The sequence below is a fragment of the Homo sapiens genome, chromosome X (genome assembly GCF_000001405.40).
Source record: "Homo sapiens chromosome X, GRCh38.p14 Primary Assembly".
Classification (NCBI taxonomy): Eukaryota; Metazoa; Chordata; class Mammalia; order Primates; family Hominidae; genus Homo; species Homo sapiens.
This window is the reverse complement of record NC_000023.11, coordinates 3,092,127-3,113,881: the sequence shown is the minus strand read 5'-3', so window position 1 is coordinate 3,113,881 and position 21,755 is coordinate 3,092,127. Positions and strand designations below refer to the sequence as shown.

General features: G+C 38.4%; 1 protein-coding gene and 1 pseudogene across 7 annotated transcripts in view; one reads left to right on the top strand and one right to left on the bottom strand.

Annotated features, from left to right (window-relative positions):
* On the top strand, positions 752 to 1,092 carry RPS24P21 (ribosomal protein S24 pseudogene 21; annotated as a pseudogene).
* Positions 1,155 to 21,755, bottom strand: part of ARSF (arylsulfatase F) — a 72,494-nt gene continuing 51,893 nt past the window's right edge. For 5 of the 7 annotated variants that reach the window (NM_001201538.2, NM_001201539.2, NM_004042.5 and 2 more), the window contains exons 8-11: positions 12,661 to 12,795; positions 9,958 to 10,120; positions 3,630 to 3,754; positions 1,155 to 1,708 (exon numbers count right to left, since the gene is read on the bottom strand). In NM_001201538.2, coding sequence (NP_001188467.1) covers positions 1,326 to 1,708; positions 3,630 to 3,754; positions 9,958 to 10,120; positions 12,661 to 12,795 — 806 coding nt within the window. In that variant the 3' untranslated portion in view covers positions 1,155 to 1,325. Of the gene's footprint in view, positions 1,709 to 3,629; positions 3,755 to 9,957; positions 10,121 to 12,660; positions 12,796 to 21,755 lie in introns of those variants that run through there. The other 2 variants (XM_011545524.2, XM_017029528.1) reach the window with 2 other exon arrangements.

Genomic DNA, 21,755 nt, shown 5'->3' with positions numbered 1-21,755 from the left:
TTTTCTGGCACGGAAAGACACGTTTAGAAAATGGAAATTAGGCTTGATGCAGTGGCTCATGCCTATAATTCCAGCACTTTGGGAGGCTGAGGCAGGAGGATCACTTGGGGACAGGAGTTTGAGATGGGCCTGGGCAACATAGCAAGACCCATTCTCTACAAAAGAATAAAAAGAGCCGGGCGTGGTGGTATGTGTCTGCAGTGCCACCTACTCCAGAGGCTGAACTGGGAGGATTGCTGTGGAGTCTTCAGTGAGTTATGATGGTGCCAGTGCCCTCAGCTGTCAACATGGATGACATAGTAACTATCTACACAGGAAGGTCATGAGCTACTGACTTCTTCAGAGGCAACAAATGGTCATCGATGTCCTTCACCCCAGGAAGGCAACAGCACCTAAGACAGATATTCAGGAAAAACTAGCCGAAATGGACAAGACCACACAGGATGTCCTGGTTTTTTGGTTGTTTTTGAAACGGAGACTTGCTCTGTTGCCCAGGCTGGAGTGCAGTGGCGCAATCTTGGCTCACTACAACATCTGCCTCCCAGGTTCAAGCAATTCTCCCGCCTCAGCCTCCCAAGTAGCTGGGATTACAGGCATGTGTCACCACGCCTGGCTAATTTTTGTATTTTTAGTAGAGACGGGGTTTCATGATGTTGGCCAGGCTGGTCTCAAACTCCTGGCCTCAAGTGATCCCCCCACCCCAACCTCCCAAAGTGCTGGGATTATAGGAGTGAGCCCCCGTGCCCAGCCAGGATGTCCTCTTTGTATTCATATTCAGAATTCATTTTGGTGGTGGCAAGACAACTGGTTTTGGCACGATTTACAAATCTTCAGATTATGCAAAGAAAAATGAACCCAAACATAGACTTGCAAGACACAGCCCATGTGAGAAGAGAAAGACCTCAAGGAAACAGCAAATGGAATGAAAGAACAAAACAAAGAAAGTCAGGAAGACTGCAAAGGCCAGTGTTGGTGCTGGCGATAGGCAAGGTGGAGACTGGGTGACAAACAGAAGAAGTAGCAATTCTGCAGTGACATTATCAGCGGCCATCGTGCGGATTTTTTATAAGAGAATTAGTAAATTATAAGCTTTCGGGAAATAAAACAAATTTCAATCAACATTTATCCACAGGAATCCAAAAAAAAGCAGCAAGTGGAACAACCAGTGGGCCTTTAATAATCTGGAATGGTAGATGAATTTATTGACTATTAAATGCACTCCTTGCCAACTTGAAAGCACCAAAGTTAGTGCTTCCTTTGGTAGCCTGATTGTAATTATCTCTTCTCGTTAGGACCAAAGGCTTCCTCTGGTAGCCTGATTGTAATTATCTCTTCTCGTTAGGACCCCGAGGCTGAGAGACTTCCTCTTCCTTGTCACACAGACAAAATGGGAACACCCCACAGCAAGGCTTCAGCCACGTCCTGCCCTGATTCAGTTCTGAGAGTTGGTAGGTCACAGGCACGATGGTTTCCTGGTGTTCCTTCAGGGCGTTGGCCACCTTTTTAATCACAAAATCATGGAGGGGCTCTGTGGCAGGTGTCAGGGGTGTGGACTCTGAGGGGTCCCTGGAGAGATCGAAGAGCAGAGGGGGGTTGTGGTAGGTAACCTGTTCTCCGAAACATCTGCATAATGAGGTGACATAGCAGCCACCAGAAGCTGGTGGCTGGAATACCGGGGTCACATAGTGAGCCTTCCAAACTGACCCACCTGGAGGAGAAAAGAGAGACTCGTCAAATGATGCGCACTTCAGCCAGATCAAAGGAAGAAGTCCTAGTGTTCTATAGCAGGGGTCCCCAGTCCCCAGGCCACAAACTGGTACCTGTTCGTGGCCTGTTAAGAACCTGGTCACACACAGGAGGTGAGTGGTTGGGGGAGAGAGCGAAGCTTTATCTCTGTATTTACAGCCATTCCCTATCGTTGGCATTATTGCCTGAGCTCTTCCTCCTGTCAGATATCAGTGGCTGCATCAGATTCTCATAAGAGCACGAGACCTATTGTGAACTGTGCATGCGAGGGATCTGGGTTGCAGGCTACGTATGAGAATCTAATGCCTGATGATCTGTCACTGTCTCCCATCACCCCCAGATGGGACCATCTAGTTGCAGGAAAGCAAGCTCAGGGCTCCCACTGATTCTACATGATGATGAGTTGTAGAATTATTTCATTATGTAATACAATATAATAATGATAGAAATAAAGTGCACAATAAATGTCATGCATTTGAATCATCCCAAAACCATCCCCCACCCCAGTCTGCAGAAAAATTATCTTTTACAAAACTGGTCCCTGGTGCCAAAAAAGTTGGGGACTCCTGTTCTAAACACTGTAGAATAACTATAGTTAACAATAATATGTTACATAGTTACAAATAGCTAGAAGGAGGATATTCAATGTTCCCAACACAAAGAAATTATGCATGTTTGAGATGATGGATGTGCCAATTATTCTAATCTGATCACTATGCATTGCCTATCTCAAAATATCACTAGATATCCCCAATTTTCATGTGCAATGTGTGCATATTATTATATGTGTGCCACTTTTTAAAAATTTAAAAAACTTCCAATTTCTGGGTCATAAACTCATTTTCTTCTAACACTTTTAATCTTACATTTTATCTTTAGTCTGCCTAGAATTGATTTTTATAAATGAAAGTTTAGCCATGACCACTTATGCCTACAAAATAACCTGCCCATAGAAGATATTCAATACATATTTTTTTATCTCCAAAAAAAAAAAAAAGAAAGAAAGAAAGCACATCAGAGGCATGCACCCAAGGTGCTGGCTTCTCTTGTCTTCTTCCGTCTTCTCAAGGCTGGTTCTTGGGCTTCTTTTTGCCCACACGTCAATGCTAAATATTATGCAATCCTTACAACAAAACGAGAACATTAGAGTTCCCTGGTGAAATGATATACACATTTTCCAGCAGATATCAGTCCTGTTTCTAAAAATGTATATATATTTTTTGGTTTTGTTTTTGTTTGAGATGGAGTCTCACTCTGTCTTCCAGGCTGGAGTGCAATGGTGTGATCTCAGCTCACTGCAACCTCTGCCTCCTGGGTTCAAGTGATTCTACCGCCTCAGCCTCCCAAGTAGCTGGGACTACAGGTGTGCACCACCATGCCTGGCTAATTTTTGTATTTCTTAGTAGAGACAGGGCTTTGCCATGTTTGCCAGGCTGGTCTCAAATTCCTGACCTCAAGTGATCTGCCCGCCTCGGCCTCCCAAAGTTCTGGGATTACAGGCGTGATCCACCACACCTGACTAAAAATGTATGTTTCGTAAAAGTGTCTCTCTAACTTTATAGGCAAATCTTATGTTCATACATCTGTTTTCTTTATTAAAGTGTAATCGATAAGTAAAAATTGCATAGATTTTCCATGCACAATGTGATGTTTTAATGTATGTGCGACTGCTGAGATAATTAAGTGAAGCCAATTAGCATCTCCATTACCCCCACCTGCCTTTCTGCAGAAGAGCAATTCTGAGAAACTTCTCCAAAACCATGTGTTCAGTGAGCCCTGGAATGAAAGGACCGGTCTAGAGAGGAAAGGAAGAATGCGTTCAGGATACACCTGAGTGACCCTGCTCCTGGCAGGGAACAGGAAGCAACGGGTTGAGCACTCACTGTCGTCCTTGGGGATCCACCGCACGGCGTGCAGGTAGGAGCCACAGTAGTGGAAAAGAAATTCATGCTCCGAGTGCCTGACGTTGCCCTGCAGCAAGGGCATGAGGTCTCGGCCGTCAATGACCCTGCAGAGACACAGACAGTGCAGATAAGGAAAATGAGGAGAAGGGACGTTGGGTCCCAAGCTACCTGAAGGGTACTTGGTGAAGACTGCGTCATGCCTCAGGTCCAGAGGACAGCGTACTGAGTCTTTAGGAAAACTCATGCATGCTCTCTGGGAGATTACACTCCAGTGGACAAGAGAAGAAAGCTAAGTTCTGATCCTGAAATGATGAGGCCGAGGAATGTGACAATGCATGCCCCAAAGGCGAAAAGATCAGACAGCCTTGGCTGCGACACAGAGCTCTCCACAGCTCAGCAATTTATGGCAATTTCATAAATCTGAACTTCATTTGCAATTATATTGCTACCCTTTGAAAAAATTTTATGTAATCACTAAAAAGTCATATACTTCTAATTTTATATGAGAAATGGAGTAAATGAACGCACAAACAGAAAACCAATCACCATGTTCTCACTTACAAATGGGAGCTAAACACTGGGTACACATGAACATGAAGATGGGAACATTAGACACTGGGGGGCTCCGAAAAGCAGGAGGGAGGGAGGAGGGAAGGGTTGAAAAACTACCCGTTGGGCGCTATGTTCACTGCTTGGGTGATGAATTTAATAGAAACCTCAGCATCACACAATATATCCAAATAACAAACCTGCACATGGGACCCTGAATCTAAACTAAAATGAATTTTAAAAATTTATATTAGAAAATATATCTTATGCCTTGTATTAGAAAGCAATAATAATAAAACCTGCTTTGTAATGGGACACATAATAATACATCCCAGATAAGGATTTTTCTCTTTTATTTTTTTTGAGATGGAGTTTCACTCTTGTTTCCCAGGCTGAGGGGCAGTGGTGTGATCTCTGCTCACCGCAACCTCTGCTTCCCGGGTTCAAGGGATTCTCCTGTCTCAGCCTTCCAAGTAGCTGGGATTACAAGCATGTGCCGCCACACCCAGCTAATTTTGTATTTTTAGTAGAGATGGGGTTTCTCCATGTCAGTCAGGCTGGTCTTGAACTCCCAACCTCAGGGGATCCACCCACCTCGGCCTCTCAAAGTGCTGGGATTATAAGCGTGAGCCACCGCGCCCAGCCAGGATTTTTTTTTCTTTCTTGGAGACAGAGTTTTGCTCTTGTTGCCCAGGCTGGAGTGCAACGGCACGATCTCGGCTCAATGCAACCTCCATCTCCCAGGTTCAAGCAATTCTCCTGCCTCAGCCTCCTGAGTAGCTGCGATTACAGGCGTGTGCCACCATGCCTGGCTAATTTTGTATTTTCAGTAGAGACGGGGTTTCACCATGTTGGTCAGGCTGGTCTCAAACTCCTGACCTCAGGTGACCTATCTGCCTTGGCCTCCCAAAGTGCTGGGAATACAGGTGTGAGCCACCGTGCCATGCCTAAAAAGGATCTTAAAAGAAATAAAACTATATTTACTATCAGATACAATGATTTCCTATGTTAATTATCACTGAAAAAACTGCCGGAAATAATGAGTAAGACTAGCAAGATCACACAATACAATAACAACTTTTAAAAATGTCTATATATTTGCAATGAATAGCTGGGAATAGCTTTTTAAAGTATCATGTACTATAACATGAGAAAGCATGAAGTATTTAGGGATAGCATTTTTATGTGAAAAATTTGTATGAGAAAAGCCACAAAGCACCAAATAAGAGAAATAAATGGAGAAATGAACTATATTTATTGATTGGAAAATTCAAAGTTTTTTAAGACATCAATTTTCTGCAAATTGATCTATAGATTTAAAGCAATCTCAATCACAATTTCAGAAAGGTTTATGTTGAAAGGAAGAAACTTATTCCAAAATTTACATGGGAAAATAAAGATCCTAGAATGGTTTAAAATTTTTTGAAGAAGAAAATAGTTTGAAGACTCACTACATAACTCCCAGATTTACTATAAAGCTAGACTAATTGAGACAGTGTAGTGTTGAAATAAGGGTTTCAATGGATCAATGAAATAGGAGAGTCCAGGAATTGACCAACACGTATACTGCTTTTCAACAAATGCTCAAAATAATTCAGTAGAGATAGGACTGTCTTTCAATAAATGACAGTAGACAAATTGGATATCCAAATGCAAGGAAAATAAATCTCAGCCTATACCTCAAGCCACATTAAAAAATTAACTCAATGTGGACCATAAGCCTAAATGTAAACCCAAAACTATAAAACTTCTAAGTGAAAACATAGGAGAAAATCACTGTGATCTTTTGATAAGAAAATTTTTTTTAAGTTTTATCACAAAAATCACAAGTTATAAAAGAAAAAAAGATAAATTAGCCATTATCAAAATGTAAAACTTCTGCTTTTCAAATGGCAATGTCAAGAAAATAAACATGTGACCTCACTCCATTAGTGGGGAAAAAGAAAAAAAGAAAAAAATTAAAATATTAAATATCAATTTTAAAAATTTAGAGCATTAGAACACCATCCTGATTACTCTTTTAAACTTGATTACTCTAGCTTTATAGTAAATTTTGGAATTATGTAGTGAGTCTTCAAATGATTTTCTTCTTCAAAAAATTTTAGGCTATTCTAGATTCTTTATTCTAGAAAATCTTATGAAATACTTTTGATCTGCAGTTGATTGAATTCGCAGATGCAGAACCTCTGAGTTCAGAGGGATGACTATTTGCTTCTACTCCACGGCTTGTCTTTTTCTTTTCTTTTAAACTTTCTTTTAAGTTCATATTTAATATTTTAATTTTTTCTTTCTTTTCTTTTTTTCTCCACTAATGGACTGAGGTCACATGTTTATTTACTTGATATTGACATTTGAAAAGCAGAAATTTTAAATTTTGATAATGACTAATCTATCACTTTTTTCTTTTATAGCTTGCAACTTTTTTGATAAATCTAAAAAAATTATTTTCTTATCTGAATATTACAATGATTTTCTCCTATGTTTTATTTAGAAGTGTTATAATTTTGGGTTTACATTTAGGCTTATGGTCCTTTTAGGGACGGTCTTGTTTGTACTGAATATGTACAGACTTTTTCTCGTCATTATTCCCTAAAGGGTACAATATAACAACTATTTTATGTGGCATTTACATACATTGTATTAGGTATTATGAGTAATCTAGAGATGATTTAATATATACAAAAGGATGTGTGTAGGTAATATGCAAATACTACAGTATTTTACATCAGGGACGGGAGCATCTGGGTATTTTGGTATCCACGTGAGGTCTTGAGACCAACCCCCCATGGATACCAAGGGACAGCTGTATTGGTAAACCACATACCTGATAAGTCATTTTTTCCCAACACTTTGATAAACCATTGCATCCTCAGATTCCCGTGTTTCTACACATTAATGGTGTCCTCTGTTTTATCTTTACTTTTCTTTTTTGTCTATTCTACACTCTTGTTCAGGATCTCTGGTTATAAATCTGTCCATCTCTATTTTTGGTTGTAATTTGCTTTATCTGTTTTGTGTGATGAGGTGGTGAAACAAATTGTGTTAATTCTAAAAATAAATAACTATTTGGCTTTTACAGTATTAGCAGCCTTCATTTCTGTACAGGTGAGAGCCGCTTTTGAGTTCTTCTTGTTGATTTCATTGTGTTGGGGATTGAAGCAGACAGGAGAGAGGTATCCACAGGCCCTCATGATGCTGGTGTCATAGACAGTGAGCCTGATACTGTGAATTTGCTGTTTGTTCCCTTCTACGTAGTACAGCTATTCTCTATTAGCAAGGACATATTTAACTGGTCAATGCACATGCCAAAGAAGTCATGAATTCAAATAAAGAGGCTTGGGAGAACCAAGCATAGGAATAACCAAAAAATCAACCTGATGAGTAGTACCCGGCACGCCGACCTGTACGTGAAGCTGAGGTTAGGTCTCCCACCACAGTGCCTTAGTCATCTTCGCGATATTCTTCCACTTCCCGTTGAACTACAAAGATGGTGCGTCCTCTGAAGACTTAGCCTATGGCTAGTGGAGTCATGGTTGCAGGCAGGAAAGGACAGCTGTACTATACATCTTATCAAGGACACCAAACTCATAACCCTAAACCCCTGACCAAATGAGCATGTAATCTCATGGCGCCGAATGCACTGGAGTGATGAGTGACTCCAATCAACTCGTTCTTCTTTTTAACGTGAGGACAACGGCTGGAACTTGGCAGCAGTTGCCTTCCACCCTCATGCAACGTAACAATATTGTGCCTGGACATTTGCCGTCTCCCTAACAGGCTGTTGGGCTATGTGGAACGACAGACTTCTTAAAACAACTATTTCTAAATGGTAGAACAGGAAAGCTGGGCTTCTCCATAGTTTTTTGATAGGTTCTTTTTGCAATAACTTCACAGTGGTTTTTTAAATATTTTTTCTGGGCTGGTCATGATGGCTCACACCTGTAAATCCCAACACTTTGGGAGGTTGAGGAGGGAGGATCACTTGAGGTCAGGAGTTCAAGACCAGCCTGGCCAACATGGCGAAAACCCATCTCTACAAGACATACAAAAATTACCCAGGCGTGGTGGCCGGTGCCTGTAGTCCCAGCTACTGGAGAGGCTGAGGCAGGAGAATTACTTGAACCCGGGAGGCAGAGGTTGCAGTGAGCTGAGATCGTGCCACTGCACTCCAGCCTGGGCAACAGAACGAAACTCTGTCTCAAAAATAAAATAAATAAAAATAAAGAATAAAATATTTTTTCTTTCCTGTGTTAGCATCATCAATGACTAACTTCTTTCCAGGCAGAAAATAAAAATGTCTTCATCTAAAGTTCAGTCCCGAAAATTATAAAATAAATTCCAGCCTTAGTGTGTTGATAGAGATATCTGCTAGCATCAAACATAAATTTTTAAATATTAGAAAGGCAAACTTGGGGATGTGTCTTGATTAGTTCTTGATAGTTTGTTTTTCAGTAAGTTAACCATGACTTCTAAAATATTTTTCTTTTCTGTATTAGTGCCAACAGAACCTATTTCTTCAGAAATAGATTAGCTTTGTTACGTGAAGAAAGAAATATTACAAGAACTCTGTGGGCTTGGAGGAGAGACATAGCTGCGGTTCTAACCCATCTGGATTCCCTTGCAGAGCTGTGATCAATGAACTGTCAATCAGCAGCAAACCTACCTAGGCTGGTTGCTGCCAGGGAATGGAGCAATGTAGTATGAACGATCTCCTCTTGAAGAAATTCAAAGTATTCATGATAGAGTTCAAAGCATCCTCAAATATCTTACCTTCTTCTCAGTCTTCCAGATCTTTCACACCAGAGACTAGGATTATTTTTCCCTTTCTTATAGAGATGAGTGAGTTTTACCTACCATGTCTTCATCTCCAAAGCTTCCTGTCTCCATCTTTCTCTCAATTGAAAATGTTAAAGTATCTAAGATGGTCCGCATTAGATTAGTATCTAAGACTGGTCTCTGATACTTGTTCAGGACCTCTGGTTATAAATCTGTCCATCTCTATTTTCGGTTGTAATTTGCTTTATCTGTTTTGCGTGGTGAGGTGTTCCTCAGAAAACCAAAAATAGAGCTACCATGTGATCCAGAAATCCAACTACTTGGTATACACCCAAAAGAAAAGAAATCAACAGATCAAAGGAATAGCTGCATTTCCATGTTTATCGCAGCACTCTTCACAATAGCCAAGCTATAGAATCAACCTAACCACCTATCGGCAGACAAATTAACTTTTTAAAAAGTGTTATATATGCACAAGGGAATACTATTCATCCCTAAAAAAGAAGGAATTCCTGTCATTTGCAGCAACATGAATGGAACTGGTGGCCATTATGTTAAGTGAAATAAGCCAAGCCCAGAGAAAGGCAAACATCACATCTTCTCACTCAGTGTGGGAGCTAAAAATAAATAATAGTGAATCTTAGGAAGATAGAAAGTAGAATAGTGATGACCAGAGGGGAGAGATGAGAGGAAAATGAAGGGGAAAAAAAGAAAATAAGTATGTTTATTACCACTGAACTGTATACTGAAAAATGGTAAAGATGGTAAATTATATATGTATATTTTACCTCAATAGAAAAAAAGAAAAGACTGGTCTCTTCTGAAAAATGCTGAATAGACACAGTCATATAGGAAGGTAAAACTGTGTAGATACTAGGGAAAAAGTGGGTCTGCCAGGATAGAGTCAGTCTCCTTGTTCTGAATCTTCTGAGAAGGAAGAAGGGTGAAAATAAGCTCTTGTTAACAGTTTATATGACATCACCTGTCCTGAGGGAGACTTCCTCCTGACACTGATGCGACAGTTGGTAAAATATCCATTAAACTTGTAGGTTCCTTAATCAACCGTCCAGCTGGTACCTTTCCAGGCCATCGGACAATTCCTGGGACGCGGATTCCACCTTCCCAGCCCCCCATGCCTTTTCCACCTATAAGACAATGCAATTAAGTTCAATTATTGTGCCTAGTTAAAATAGTCACTGTATTGAATGTATTTAAAAGGTAAGCTAGTATCAAAAGAGATCACATTTGTATAGTGTCTACTCTATGTAGAGTCCTAGTGGGGTAAGTAGTGCACGTCTACAGAATTATATTTTCCTGTGCTGCTGGTAGGTTTTTGATTAAATAACTAAGCATATGTAATATTGGACATTTACATTCTATTTGCATGGCTATTTTCTCTACTTAAAGTGTTCTTATCTCAAATATACACCTACTTCATTTCCAACCTCCCTCATACCTTTGCTCAAAGTAACTTCCTATATTTTTTTTAATTAATATTTTTCTTGTATCCAGCCCCCAATTTTATGGAACTCACAGTAACCTCAATGAGGCGTGCCTGAACATTTTATTTGAAATGGCAGTCCCACCCCAGAATTCTTTACTCTCGTGTTTTTTCTTATTTACAGCCACCTTCTAATATGCCATATTATTTATTTATTTTATTTTATTTTCTGCTGTGCCTCCCTCCAGTAGGATATAAACTCCATGAAGACGAGGATTTCTGCCTATTTTGCTCACTGTTGATTCATGCACCTTGAAAACAAATGGAATACTATGGACATATGGTAACTTATTGTCCACATCAAGGTATTATTGAGAATAAAAGCAGAAAGTTGTCTTAATTATACCAAGATGACAGGCATACACCAGGATTTCCAGGGGGAAATTAGGAGAAGTGGCCACTGTCCTGTGTTAATTGACTCTTATTTTATTAAGTTAATCAGAGTAAAATCTACATTATGTCATGGCATGCTGAAAAGTTAATTTTTTTTTTTTTGAGATGGAGTCTCGCTCTGTTGCCAGGCTGGAGTGCAGTGGTGCTATCGCGGCTCACTGCAACCTCCGCCTCCTGGGTTCACGCCATTCTCCTGCCTCAGCCTCCTGAGTAGCTGGGACTACAGGTGTCCGCCACTATGCCCAGCTAATTTTTGTATTTTTAGTAGAGATGGAGTTTCACCATGTTGGCCAGATGGTCTCGATCTCTTGACCTTGTGATCCGCCTGCCTCAGCCTCCCAAAGTGCTGGGATTACAGGCATGAGCCAAAAATTTTTAAAAACAGTTCCCATAAGCAAACATACAATGTCTAACATGCGCACGCATGCTTATAGCAGTGCAATTCTCAATTGCAAAGATATGGAACAAGCCTAAGTACCCATCAACCAACAGGTGGATAAAGAAAACGTGGTGTACATACACCATGGAATTCTACTCAGCCATAAAAATAAGTGAAATAATATCTTTTGCAGTAACTTGGATGGAGCTGGAGGCCATTATTCTAAGTGAAGTAACTCAGGAATGGAAAACCAAACAGCCTGTTTTCACTTATAAGTGGGAGTTAAGCTACAAGAATGCAAAGGCATAAGAATCATATAATGGGCTCTGGTGACTTTGGGGAATGATTGGGAGTAGGCTGAGGAAAAAAATACTACATATTGGGAACAGAGTACATGCTCAGATGACGGTGCACTAAAATCTCAGAAATCACCACTAAAGAACTTATCTGTGTAACCAAAAACCACCTGTAACCCCAAAACTACTGAATTTTTTTTTTAAAATAGAATGTCTATAATAACAATTTCCACTAAGGATTTGTTTTGGGTCCTAAGTGCACACTTTAGTGCTACACGCTCTAAAGAGTACACATTCATACCCTCTGCAAGATGGAGGCAGAGCCTTTACCTCATTCATACAGAAATTATAATTTCCTACCGAATCCAAGACTGTGGAATCTGTAGTTGCATGAATAACAACGTATTTTCCTCTAGAAAATACTTTAAAATCTCTCTCAAGACATATGATAAAATATACTCGACATTTTCCAGATAATTATCTTTTTTCTTTTTCTTTTTTTAATCCTCATTTCACAAATGAAGATAATATTCTAACATCAGGTTACACATTATAGACTGGCCAATGTAGTAGCTTATGGACCTATTTTGTGGACTAAATGTTACAGCAGGACATAAAATCAGTATATGTGAATTTAATCATGAAACCCAAGACAGGCTTGTCTACTTTCTATGCTGTACTATATCCTTGGAAGAGAGTGTCGAAGACTTCTTAATGATGAAGGATCCCTGGTTTCTGATCTCTGTTCTCTAGGAATCACACTCCCCCTCATTTAATCTCTCAATAATCTCATAAATGGAATGAATGAGTAGATATTTCTTTAAAGACCCCATAAAAGCATCTGCTTGTGCTAACTCCTCATAATTTGATAGGGTTGTCAGAAAGGCATATTTCTAGATGCTCCCTCTACATAAATGGCTTCCTTCCACAGAAATGTTAACAAATGTAAGACCAATTTTCTTGACCTTGGTCCAATACTTCATTTTACTAAGAGTCAAATTAAACAAACTTGTTCAGTTTTTCAGGCCTCATTCCTTTGTGTCATGGGCTTTAATTATAAGAACCACAAAAAAGCTTATTCACCACCAGATCACTTGCATGAGTTCCTCTCCTCACCTTTGTATATTCCATTCCATCCACCAAGTTGGGCATGCCCTCGCCTAGCTTCCAAATGCCCTCCGTGATCTGATGTAAAGTAGACAAGGGTGTTGTTCCTTAGGCCAAAATCATCGATAGCATCAAGAATCTTGCCTAAAATAATATACAAGAGACAAGTAAAAATAATGACATTATGAGGTATTTCACCCCTAAGTCAAATGGGCATGAGCTATCTAAAGGAAAACAAGGATGGTGTGACCCTATGTCAAAAGCCACAAAAGAAAAGAAATGTGCATTAACAGTTTAAATTGACAAACCATTGAAAGAGAAAAAAACTGAGAGTCAGGCCGGGCGCGGTGGCTCATGCCTGTAATCCCAGCACTTTGGGAGGCTGAAGTGGGTGGATCACAAGGTCAGGAGTTCAAGATCAGCCTGGCCAAGATCATGAAACCCTGTCTCTACTAAAAACACAAAAATTAGCCAGGCATGGTGGCACAGGCCTGTAATCCCAGCTACTCAGGTGGCTGAGGCAGAGAATTGCTTACACCCGGGAGGCAGAGGTTGCAGAGAGCTCAGATCGTGCCACTGCACTCCAACCTGGGTGACAGAGTGAGACTCATCTCAAAAAAACAAAAAACAAAAAAACAAAAAACTGAGAGTCCAAAATTTTTAAGAAATAAAAGATGACCTGCTTTAAGAAAAAAATATTATGGCAATACAAATGAACATCAGTTGCTACTGGTATCATTTAAAAGGACAAATTCTCCTTGATAATTTCCTTCATGCAGAATGAAAACATTAAACAGAGAAATACAGTTTTTCCCACTGGATATGAAACGAAGGACTGTAGTGGTATTCTGACTGATGTTGCACAGAATGGCAGTCACGGTTTATGCAACCTCTCTGCTCACAGAAGGCAGACATTGTTACAGAATTTGAGGAGACAGAGGCAAGAATAAGACACTCCCACTGTTGGGTTCACATAATTTATTTGATATATTCTTGCAGATGATTTAGATAAGTAATTCTTTAACCATTTTCCCTTCCCTTCTTATTTGATATTTTAAATAGAGAATAGGATGACTAGGTTGGGAGAATTAGACTCAATGGGCAAGTTAAAAGAGGAAGAATGTATTCAAAATAAACCACATTTCCAATCATTTTTATAGGAAAATAGCTAAATTCCTAGAGTTCCCAAACCCAGTCTGTATTATGCATAATTATGAAAAAGCTTATTAGTCTCAAACGTGTCTAATTCTATGTGTTCTACTGTTGGTTATCTCAGATAACATTACATTAACATTCCTAAAGTACTATACCTTAGAAATTTTCTTCTAGAGCCAAGGCACACAAGTAAGGGCAAGTTAAGAAAGAATTTATATTTTAAAATACTTTTAAAAATTTACCACAATACTTTTAGCAAAAATCGCACTGAAAATTCATCCAAGAGAAAATGATCAATGGATGCTAAACCTGGCATTAAATGTTTGATAAGAACCAAAATATTGGCTTCATCTCAAAGTATCTCCCATAAAATAGTTAAAAATCTCAAATTATTAAGTAATGACAAAATAAGTAACTTTACAGTGGAGAAAACTGGAAGACACCATTTAATCAAGAGATGAAGAATTTTATAACCATTGTTGGGGCTAATTCACTTACTTGTCTACTGGATTGAGAACACACCATCACTTCCACTTCCATTGAAGGAAATGTCAAACCAACCCAATTCAAGGGACATTCTAGATGATACCCGGTCTTTATTCTCAGAAAATGTCAAGGTCTTTGAATTCAAGAAAGAATAAAGATTGCTCAGTCTTTGTCCAGATCAGAGGAGTTTAAACAGATACAACAAGAAAATCCATGGACCAGAACAGAAAGAGGGTAGAGGAAGTAGGGGTTTTGTTGGTTGGTTTTTGTTTGTCCATTGGTTTTGCTTGCTGTGTATAAATTTTCTTTTGAGGACAGCTGGAGAAGTTTGGCTGGGATTTGTGAATTAAATCCTAAGAATCCACCCATGTTAATTTCCCGATTTTGATGATTCGCAGTGATGATGTAGGAGAATGTCTTTGTTTTAGAAAATACACACTAAAGTTTCTAAATTTAATGAACATCATATCTGCATCTTATTCCCAAATATTCAGAAGCATAAGAAACATGTGGAGGTGGAAGAGAGAAAGAGAGAGAGAGGAAGAAAGAGGATGATCAGGAGAAAGGAAGAGGGGCGAGAGAAGATATATTTGATAAATTGCTAACAATTGGGAAAGATGGGTGAAGGGGACACGGGAGTTGTTTTTACTCTTCTTGCTACTTTTCAGTAAATAGTGAAAAGTAGCAAGAAAAAACAACAAAGCTAATATTTTTCTGATTATAAAAATACAAAATAGCTTGGGAAATACAAAAAAATAAAGAAAATTATAAGGAGGAAAATAAAGACCACCAATTTCCTGCCCCATTGCCATTTGACTATTTAAAAAAAATTGTTACATACTGTATTAGTCTGTTTTCACGATGCTAATAAAGACATACCTGAGACGGGGTAACTTATAAAGAAAAAGAGGTTTAATGGAATCACAGTTCTACGTGGCTGGAGAGGACACACAATCACGATGGGAGGTGAAAGGCACATCTTACACGGTGGCAGACATGAGAGAATGAGAGCCAAGCAAAAGGAGTTTCCCCTTATAAAACCATCAGATCTCATGAGACTTATTCACTACCATGAGAACACTATGGGGGAAACTGCCTCCATGATTCAATTATCTCCCACCAGGTCCCCCCCACAACATGTGGGAATTATGGGAGCTACAATTCAAGATGAGATTTGGGTGGGGACACAGCCAAACCATATCACATACTCTTGTAGATGCATCTCTCTCTCTCTATTTGGGTTGATATTGTATGAACGGTTTTCAACTTGCTTTCTTCATCCAATATTATTTCTCGGAAAATCTTCGTGTTAAAAAATTATTCAAGACTGGGCATCATGGCTCACACCTGTAATCCCAGCAATTTGGGAGGGCAAGGAAGGCGGATCCCTTGAGCTCAGGTATTTGAGACCACCCTTGTCAACACAGTGAGACCCTGTCTCAATTAAAAAAATAAATTTAAAAAATTATATGTACAATTTAATGGCTGGAAAAGTGTCCATTGTGTGTGTGTGTGTGTGTGTGTGTGTGTGTGTGTGTGTGTTGTGTGTGTATGTGTATATATATATATTTTATTTTGAGATGGAGTTTTGCATTTGTTACCCAGGCTGGAGTGCAATGGCACGATCTCAGCTCACTGCAACCTCCGCTTCGCAGGTTCAAGCATTTCTCCTGCCTCAGCTGCAGGCATGCGCCACCACACCCAGCTAATTTTGTATTTTTAGTAGAGACAGGATTTCTCCATGTTGGTCAGGCTGGTCTCGAACTCCCGACCTCAGGTGATCTGCCTGCCTCGGCATCCCAAAGTGCTGGGATTACAGGCGTGAGCCACCACACCTGGCCTAAACAATTTATGATACTTTATTTTTAAGTAGTATAAATTATTTAACCATTTTACTGTTGTTCACTATTCTGGTTAATTTTCATACTTTGCCATAATTTAAAATGCCATAATGAACAACTTTTGGCATTAATAATAGTTCATTTTCTCAATTCCTCATCAGTATCTAATGTTTGATAGGTGATTATGGTACATTATGAATGATCATGAGTTTCCTCCTGTGTCCACTCTAATATTTGTACTTTTAATCTGTAAAAGATGTTTAAAATTTTGCTGATATTTTTGGAAGGAATTATGTGTTTCCATTATTGATTTATAAGAACTCTTTATTTGTCAAGCAGTTAAAACAATGTCATGTTGTTGCTAATATTTCCTCAGTTTGCATAGGGCCTTTAGTCATGCTACTTATCAGATAACCTTTTGCTATTACTAACACTATACCTCATCCAGATGTAAATTTACTGTTTAACTATAGCTTCTTCCAATTTTTGTTTTGTTTCACTCAATGTCCTTAATGTGTATGGAAAAGCATGCTAATTGAATTGGTAATGGTTTTTCCTAAACTAACTCTGTGAATTTCCTTGGGCTGCTGAAACAAATTAGTACAAATGAGGTGGCTTAAAACAACAAACATTTATTCTTTCACAGTTCTGGGGGCCAGATGTTCAAAATCAATGTGTTGGCAGAGTCACTCTCTCTCTCTGAAGTTTCTAGGGGAGGACCTTTCCTTACCTCTTCCTCACTTCAGACAGTTGGCATCAGTCCTTAGCCTTCCTTGGCATGTAGCAGCCTCATCCTAATTCACCATATCGGATTAGGACCCACCCCCAATGACCTCATCTTAACTTGATTCCACCTGCAACGACCCTATTTCCAAATAAGATCCCATTCTCACATACCTTGGATTATGACTTGAACATACCTTTTTGGGGGGATGTAAGTCAACTCATAACACAAACTTTCCCCAACACCTTTCACCCCTGCCACCTTGATTTAAAAACTTTATTGTACCGAATGTAATGTCCTTCTCTTTCCCAGACCTGCTCTAAGGCTATTATTTTCTGCTTCATTGATCTAAAAGTCAAATCTTGTATTTCTGCGTTTTAATTTTTGTAGTTATCTTTTTGATAGCATTTCTTATGATCACAGAAGTGTTTCTTGATGTTTTCTACCAAAGACTTTCTCATCAGATGTTTCTGGAAAGTTTATTTCCTATCAGTTTATTCAGTGTGTATTTCATCATCACCTCTATAATGACCACTCCCCAGAGAACAGTAATTAATGCTCTAATCAGAGCTACCTTAGCCTTCAATATTAACTTTGAAATAACTAATACATGTATACAATCCACTCTTCCTTTCCATGTATTCAAGTTTTCTTTCATGAGTCAGCTTCGAGATACTCATTTACTGCTTGAAAAATTATTTCTAAATATTTTAGTTATTGACATTGGAGCTATAATGAATAGTAGCTGGTGATCCATTGTATCTTGAAATGCATTATTTTTAACAAAAAGAAAAGGTCTTAATTTTGGTGCATATACCCAACAGAGAAACACTGTAGACTTCATATATATGTATAACTAATATATTTTTATATATAGCTAATATATTTATGTATAGCTAATATATAAATGTAACTAATTATACTATTGGACTAATACTATACTAACATATACTATACAAAAACAAATGTATTTATTATATTATATATCAATCTTTAGAACACATATACTACATAACATGTAGTATATATGTATTTATGTATATAATAAAAATGTTTTATAAGTTATATTGTTAGATATATATAAAATATAGATAATATCAACAGCATGATATATAACATGTATATAGTTAACTACATATACATATATATAGTTAGGTAATACTAGAAAGCATGCAAGAATTTTCCTGGCTACTATCTAATTAATGCACATCTTATAAGTCTCTCAAAATATTAAGAATTAAAATATTCAAAGCGTCAGTCAACATTATGCTTAAAAGTAAAAATTGAAACTATTTCATTAATACCAGAAAAATAAGAATATTTTTGTCATTATGTAACTTATTTTTGTACATAACCTGACTAATGCAATTAACATTAAAGTTAAATACATACTTTAACACATAAAATACAAACTTAACATTAAATGTAGTGAACATACCTATGTTGGAAACCCCAGAAAGTTTAATAAAACCTCTATGGTACTGATGTATACATGTACATAATATATAATATGCATAGCATAATTGTGATATATATAAGATAGAACCATATAATATATTAAAATCTAATAATTGTATATTAATGATATGTTTATATTATATATGAACATAATAATATAATGATGTATATAAGTAATATAACTATAATATAAATTATATGTAATATAATTTTATTATAATATCATATGTCATCTATGTGCTGATATGTGTTTTATTAAACTCTAGGGTTTTTAACATAGGCAATTCTGTTCTTTACAAATAATATTAAATTACTTTGAGTTGTTTGTATTCTTAATATTATTCAATTATATTCAATTATTCTATTTATATCTTAAAATTTAGAGAGATTACATAGTGGCCATGGAAATGATTATTTCTGAGACAGGATTTTGCTCTGTCACCCAGGCTAGAGTGCAGTGGTGCAATCGTGGCTCACTGCAGCCTCAAACTCCTGGGCTTAAATGATCCTGCCACATCAGCCTCCAAAGTAGCAGGGATTACAACCATGGAAATGATTCGTACCTTTCTAACATCAACTGAAATAAATAAATAAATATAGAAATTATATGCTACAGAAATACATAATATATATTCATATATATGATAACTTTCAAATTATTAATACTAATATGTATAACAAATAATATAAATATATATATTATAAAGGGTTAAGTTATATTTTATATATGTGTCTCAAATATTTCATATAAATTATATATATATATGACATAGAAATACATGTTTACAGCCTCCTTTGCAGTTCTGCCCTGTCCAGGGTTGCTGCCCAAGCTGTGTTGCTGTCCACAGACAGGCCTGCCCTGGGATTCCACCACTCACAACTGTCTGTACAACAGGCTCAGCCAAGACCCTCATCCTTGTCTCATCTCCTGCTGATAAGGCCATTTCTCCTACTCATTTTTGCACATTTTACTTTCTTATCTGCATTCTTGAGAAACCTGCTCTTCAGATCCAAGCTGATGGACTCTTGCCCATGCAGAAATGCATGACTCATTCGGCATCAGAGATTTTCCCCTGGGTGGGGCAAGGGTGGTATCTCCAATGAAAGCCTCTCGCTGGGCTCGAAGGAAGCAGGAAGCCAGGTTGGGGGAAGTTTTTGGAGTTTTTCTGACTCCTGTGAAATGACGGTCTGTAGGAGTCTAATGGGGCTACTGGAGACTTCAGAGAAGAATGTAGCTCTCCTTCCTCATCATTCAACATGACTTCTTTGCCCTGCATAAGAGGTAGCTGAGCTAGGGAGTAAGAGCTTTGGAGCCCAACCCTGGCTTATCTCCAGGAGCAGCCACCAAAGGCCACATACTTTTGCCTCCTTCTCTGTGAATGGAGATAAACATGATGATGAAGATGATACTCGTCTCCGGGGATGTTGTGGGGATTCATCCAGAATACACTGGTAACAGTGCATGGCCCATAGGAAGTATCACTTTTAAAAGTGTTTATTATACCAGCTGGAAAGGCTACTATTAGGTTGGTGCAAAAGTAATTGAGGTCTTTGTCATTACTTTCAATGTATCCATCTATAATCTATCAATCTATCATTACTTTCAATGACAAAGACCTCAGTTACTTTTGCACGAACCCAATAAGTCAAAAAAATAAAAGAGGAACAGATGCTGGTGAGGCTGCAGAGAAGATGCAACACTTATATACTATTGTTTGGAATATAAATTGGCTCAGCCACTGTGGAAAGCACTTTGGAGATTTCTCAGATAACTTAAAACAGAACTACCCTCTGACCCAGCAATGCCATTACTGGGTGTCTACCCAAAGGGAAATAAATCATTCTACCAAATAGACACAGGCACTTGCATGATTATCATACTATTCACAATAGCAAAGACATAGAACCAATCTACATGGATAAAGAAAATGTGGTACAGATGCACCATGGAATACTACACAGCCATAAAAAAGAACAAAATCACATCCTTTGCAGTAACATGGATACAGCTGGAGGCTATTGTCCTAAGCAAATTAACACAGAAAAAGAAAACCAACTACCACATGTTCTCATAAGTGGGAGTTAAACATTGGGTACTCATGGACATAAAGATGGGAACAATAGACACTGGGGACTCCAAAAGGGGAGAAGGAAGGTGGGGGACAAGGGCTGAAAATCTATCTATTGGTTGCCATGCTCGCTCCCTGGGTGACAGGAGCTATTGTACTTCAAATCTTGGCATCATGCAATATACCCAGGTAACAAACCTGCATGCGTACTCCCTGAATCTAAAATAAAAGGTGGAAATTATTAAAAAATGAAAATAAATGTTTATTCTATCAGTAGACTCCATTATTTCAGGGCACTGCTGTGGGAAACCCATGATAATTTTTTTTTCTTTTGAGACGGAGTCTCGCTCCGTTGCCCAGGCTGGAGTGCAGTGGCGCGATCTCGGCCACTGCAAGCTCTGCCTCCCAGGTTCACGCCATTCTCCTGCCTCAGCCTCCCGAGTAGCTGGGACTACAGACGCCCGCCACCACGGATGTGTTTGTATATTTAGTAGAGACGGGGTTTCACAGTGTTAACCAGGATGGTTTTGATTGCCTGAACTCGTTATCCACCCGCCTTGGCCTCCCAAAGTGCTGGGATTACAGGCGTGAGCCACCGCGCCCGGCCACCTATGATAATTATAAAAGGCAGGAAGGTGATATCTCTACCAGGAATGGCCACAAATCAACTTTTCTAATAAGAAAAGCAACAATTCTTAGGACTTGGGGTATTGTTACAGCTTCTGGGATAAATAATTTCAGGGTAAATATATGTTTGCTTGAGAATTGCTAAAATTATATATTAAAGCAGATGTTTATTCTTCCTAAAGGCTTGATTCTGGCTGTGTGGACAAAACATTCAAAACCTCTGGGCACCAGTATCATGTACATCTCAGTTGCGCTTTTTCAAAATATAATTTTCAGATATCACAGCTTGTCCAACCAGATTCAACACACCCATCCGTTTGCGTAATATTATCTGAATGTCACCAGAAAAATCCCATCGAAATTAAAGTCATACCCAAAGTGCCTTGTTTGAACACTATGACACATCATCAGGTTTATTAAATTAGATACTTTGGGAGCTTTGTTAATTTAAATTTTTAAAGCAAATAGTAATGTCTTTTACTTATCACAGCCTGAGTTTGAATGACCTATTTCATTGATTTTCAAAGATCAAATCAAAAATAGGATCGCCACGATTTTTGAGATTGAGTGCAATATTAAGAATCTAAACTTTAAGGACTAGTGCTGGTGGAGGCAGAAAGTAAGAGGGGTATGCATAGCTATCTATCTATCTATGTATCTATGTATGTATGTATGTATGTATGTATGTATGTATCTATCTATCATCTATCTACCTACCTATCATCTACGTATCTGTCAATCTAT